Genomic DNA, 5,191 nt, shown 5'->3' with positions numbered 1-5,191 from the left:
AATAACTGTAACCTTCTTATCAAGAAGTTGTGATCCACATGAAGTCCACAATGAGTGCAGCAAATCTGAGGTAGTCAACCCTTACGAAGGCTCAGTATCTGCACATAAAATGATTTTGAAATGATCACTGGCTACAGGTTTGGTTTTGTATTTGCAGAGCAAATATGAAGGAACACTGTTGAAACTAGTTCACACATTTATATAACAATGAAAATTCCCCTAAATCCAATATGCATAAAGCAGTCATGACACTTTAACTTCCACAGTGAAATAGGGCTGGTCATGAAATCGACTGATCTGCATCGGTGTACACAGATCCAGCAGAGATCAGATCATGAATGGCTGTTCGTGGTGGTTAGCTGTAGTCTATTTATCTCAGAAGGTTTAGCAAAGCCCATTCCTTCATTGTATTGTGAGTGACTCCTTTTCTGATTTTCAAGCACAGCATACTGGTTGTCTAGCTGAAGTTTAAGGGCCTGGTTTTTTGAAACTTCATCCCTACCTCTATTTTTGTGTCTTATTACTTGAAAGCTCTTCTCCATTTCTTTATCCTTCCAGCTTTCTATGTGCTTGGCAGTTGACTGCAGGGATGGGAACTGTGTATTGCTGTAGATTTCTGGTGGTCCTTGTGGTGTTTTCCTTGTTGTGGTTAACCTGGCCCCAGGAGGCCTACACACACACACACCACTAGTCATTGCCAGTTCTGGGGTTTCTGTAACAATTACTGGAGCAAGAGGTGCTTGTACCAGAGCTGTTTTATTCCAGGGACCTGAAGATTTTTCTGTATCACCACCACCTCCGCCTTCTTCCCAGTTATCACCTGGATCTTGTCTCTTCAATATCTTCTTCCTTTTCACTTATTTGCATTGCCTGAACCCCCAGGCCTCTGTAATCAACCTCTTTTTACTCCAAGCCTTTCCATTCTTCACAGCCTTGGTGGTGGCCCCTGGGCCCGCAGCCTCCGCACTCGCGGTCCTGCCTTCGCCCAGCCAGGTCCCTGCGCCCGCCCCGCCGCCCTCTAGAATGCGGAGCTCCACTGCTCCCGCCGCGCTGCCTGCTGCGCCCGCGGAACTCGCCGCCCGGTTGCTCTGCTCCTTCTTCTTCTTGTCCCGATTGGCAAAGAAGTTGTGCAGGCTCCGCTCCTCTGTCGCGGCCATGGCCTCGGCCTCCCGGACCCGGGTGGGTGGAGCCGGCGGCGGGCGCGGCCCGCGGGGCTCCCAGCTCGGGGTCGAGGCCGGCTCTGGCGACGCCTCAGCCGCGCGGGGTCTCCGCGGCGTGCGCGGCGGGGCAGGGGGCCCCCCCTGCGTTCTGGCTAGCGATTTTTGTTCTACATTAAGGCCTTTTTTACTTTAACTTGAAAGAAGTTCTTTGACAGAGTATGTTGCCTGGTTAAGTAACTTGAAGTATGCGTTAGGATTGTGAAATGTCTCTTGAGTATGCCAATCCTGAAGGTGGAACCAAAAAGCCTTTGATGTAAAGGACAGTGGATGCTGGAGGTTCTACATCAGGTGCTGCTAATGCCTCATCTAATTAGGTCTAAATTGTATAGTAAACTGCAGCCGGAAGAATATGCTTTCTGGTGAGGCTAAGGGGTTCACTTAGCCTTACAAATTCAGAGCAACATGAACAGACCCTCAGCTGAAACCCATTTAAGTGTCATGGATTGTGCATGATGTTTAAGAATTCCTTATATACTTCTGCCCAAATTTTCAAGGTGTTGGCTGTTCTATAGATGCAGTGATTGTCCCAGCTAGCTTTGTTTTCAACCTTTTGGTGTGTCTTTATGTTCACTTCGAGAGTCAGGGCGAAAGGTGATGTAGCACTTCTGTTTTTAATGATTACAGTTTAAAATACCTATTAATAGTAGTTTTTGGTCCTTTAAAGGGAGTTGAAGAAGCTACGCAGGATTACAAAAGAGTGTCCACCTAGTGAGATAGTCTGGCAGTTTCCTAGTTTTGTATCTTTGGTTCAATAGAAATATCTGAAAGTGGTAACGTGACCACTTGATGTAGAGTACGTGTTTCTCTATAATAAATCCCTTTGCCAAATGCATGAGTTGCAGACTTGCTACTGGCAAGAGTGAAGCAAGTGGGTGAGTAAAACTATTTTGATGTGGGAGCATTTTTGGATAGGAGTTTAGTCTTGATGAAAGTGTCCGTGTAGGAATTGGACTCCAAGGAGGGTTACAGTATCTCCTGACGGGACCTGCCGCCCACTTCTGGGCAATAATGTTGATATTTGAGGTGGCCGGCACAATGCCTGCTTTCTAATGTGTTTGGGTGAGTAGCTGAGCCAGCCAAGGGGAGGTTGAATGATTAAATCAGAAATGGGATTCTTGGTTAACTGAAGACTTTATTTGGGAGCCAAAAACCTTAAAAAATAGTCTCTTCATTGTTGAACTGCGTATTTTCCATGAAAAGTATGCATTTTTTTCCCAGCAAAATTTTGTTGGCAGTTATGTTACTGAAGAATGAACAGAGATGAATAAGTGGAGGTCTTATGTAAAGGCAATACTGTACTCGAAATCTGAAGACTTGCAGCAGATTTAACTTGCAGCAACTTCAACTCTTGGTATAACTTTTTAAAAGATTGTGAAAATATCAAAATGTACATGAATTGAGTTTTAATATCCTGTATGATAAGTGGATGAGGCTGTCCATTGTACCATTTGTTTGAATTCTCAGGCATGGTTTGGCAGTGCAAGAACTCTGTAACATTAATAAATTCAATAAAAAGTAAATGTATGAAAAAAAAAATAGGAGTTCCTCTGCACAAGCTCTATCTCTTTGCCTGCTGCCATCTGTGTAAGACGTGACTTGCTCCTCCTTGCCTTCCACCATGATTGTGAGGCTTCCCCAGCCACGTGGAACTGTAAGTCCAATTAAACCTCTTTCTTTTGTAAATTGCCCAGCTGGCAGTATGTCTTTATGAAAATGGACTAATACAGGTGGGGACACAGCCAAACCATATCAGTTCTGTTAATGAAATGTATGTTTATTGGTATGCATATATTCAACTATCATTGCATCCCTGGGATGAATCCCACTTGTTCATGGTGAATGATTTTTTAAAAATGTATTGGTGAATTTAATTTGCTAGTAGTTTGCTGATAATTTTTTTGCACCTGTGTTCATCAGGCTATTAGGACCTGTAGTGTTATTTTGTTGTTGATGTTGTTTACTTGTCTGCTTTTGATATCGCAGTCATGCTGGTCTTGTAGAATGAGTTTGGAAGTATTAACTCCTCTTCAATTTTTGGAAGAGTTTGAGTAGAATTGATAATATCTCTTCTATAAGTTTTTAGTATCATCCAGCAGTAAAGCCGTCAGGTCCTAGGATTTGCTTTGATTGGAGGCCTTTTATTCCTGTTTCAGTCTTTCATCATCATTATTATTTTTATTTTCATTTTTTTAGACAGGATCTTGCTCTATTGCCCATGCTGGAGTACAGTGGCATAATCATAGTTCACTGCAGCCTTGAATTCCTGGGATTACAAAGTCTTCCTCAGCCTTTGGAGTTGCTGGGATTACAGGCATGTGCCACCATGCACAGCTAATCTTTTATTTTTTGTAGAGACAGGGCTTTGCTATATTGCCCATGCTGGTCTTGAACTGTTGACCTGAAGCCATCTTCTTGCCTTGGCCTCCCAAGTGTCAGGATTACAGGCATAAGCCACCACACCAGACCCCTATTTCAGTCTTATACTCGTTTATGATTTGTTCATATTTTCTGTTTCTTTATGGTTAAATTTTGTGTCCAGAAATTTATCTTCTAGGTTTTCCAATTTGTTGGGGTATAGTTCTGCACATTAGTTTCTAATGATCATTTGTATTTCATTTTTAATGTCTCCTTTCTTGTCTTCAATTTTATTTAGTTGGTTCTTCTCTCTCCTTTTTTATGTTGAGATCAAGAATTGTCATTTTGTTATCTTTTCAAAAAACTAACTCTTTGGTTTGTTATTTTGTGTTATTATTTAAGTTTCAATTTCATGTAGTCCTGCTCTTATTTTTATTAATTCTTTCCTTATGCCAATTTAGGCTTAGTTTGTTCTTGTTTTTCTAGTTCCTTGAGGTGTATGGATAGGTTGTTCATTTGAAGTCTTTCTACTTTTTATGTAGGCATTTATTGCTATAAATTTCCCTCTTAGAACTGTTTTTGCTGTATCCCATAGGTTTGGTATATTGCAATTTCCTTTTCATTTGTCTCAAGGTATTTTTAAATTCCCCATGTAATTTCTTCATTGATCCATTTACTGTTCAGGAACATGTTGCTTAATTTCCATAAATTTGTACAGTTTCCAATGTTCATTTTATTATTGATTTCTAGTTCTATTCCATTGTGGTCAGAAAAGATACTTGACATGATTTAGTCTTTTAAAAAATTGTTGACTTGTTTTGTAACATAACATATGGCTTGTTTTGGAGAATATTCCATGTGCTGATGAGAAAAATGTGTATTCTGGAGCTGTTGGATGAAATATTCTATAAATTTCGGTTATATTCATTTGGTCTAGAGTGCAGTTTAACTCCAAAATTTGTTGATTTTCTGCCTAGGTGATCTGTTCATTGCTGAAAGTGGGGTGTTGAAGTCCTCTAATATTATTATATTGCAGCCAGTCTATCTCCTTAGGTCTATCAGTATTTATTTTATATATTTGGATGCCCCAGTGTTAGATGCTAATTTATTTACAATTGTTATACCCTCTTACACCATTGTTTCCTTTTTCATTATATAATGGCCTCTTTGTTCTAATTACCATTCCTTATTAAAGTCCATTTTATCTGATATAAGTGTAGCTACTCCTGTTGTTTTTAAAATTTCTATTTGCATGATAAATCTTTTTTAATCTCTTCTGTTTTAGTCTGTGCATATCCTTATAGGTGAAGTGGGTTTCTTGTTGACTGCATATAGCTAAGTCTTTTTTAATCAATTCAGCCACTCCATGTCATTAAATGAGAAAATTTAATATATTTACATTCAAGATTATTATTAATAGGTGAATGTTTACTACTGCTATTTGTTACATGTTTTTTGGTTATTTTGCAGATCCTTTCTTTCTGTCTTACTGTTTTCCTTTGTGGTTAGGTACTTTTCTCTTCTGGTATGATTTGATTTTCCACTATTTATTTTTAGCGTATCTGTTTTAGGTTTTTGCTTTGCACGTATCATGAGGTTTACATTATCATCTCATT

At 39.7% G+C, this 5,191-nt stretch overlaps 1 pseudogene; it reads right to left on the bottom strand.

Moving 5' to 3' along the window:
• Window positions 1-204: 204 nt before the first annotated feature.
• On the bottom strand, window positions 205-1,318 carry CDV3P1 (CDV3 pseudogene 1; annotated as a pseudogene).

This window comes from Homo sapiens, chromosome 3, assembly GCF_000001405.40.
Source record: "Homo sapiens chromosome 3, GRCh38.p14 Primary Assembly".
Lineage (NCBI taxonomy): Eukaryota > Metazoa > Chordata > Mammalia > Primates > Hominidae > Homo > Homo sapiens.
This window is presented reverse-complemented; position numbering and strand designations above follow the sequence as displayed.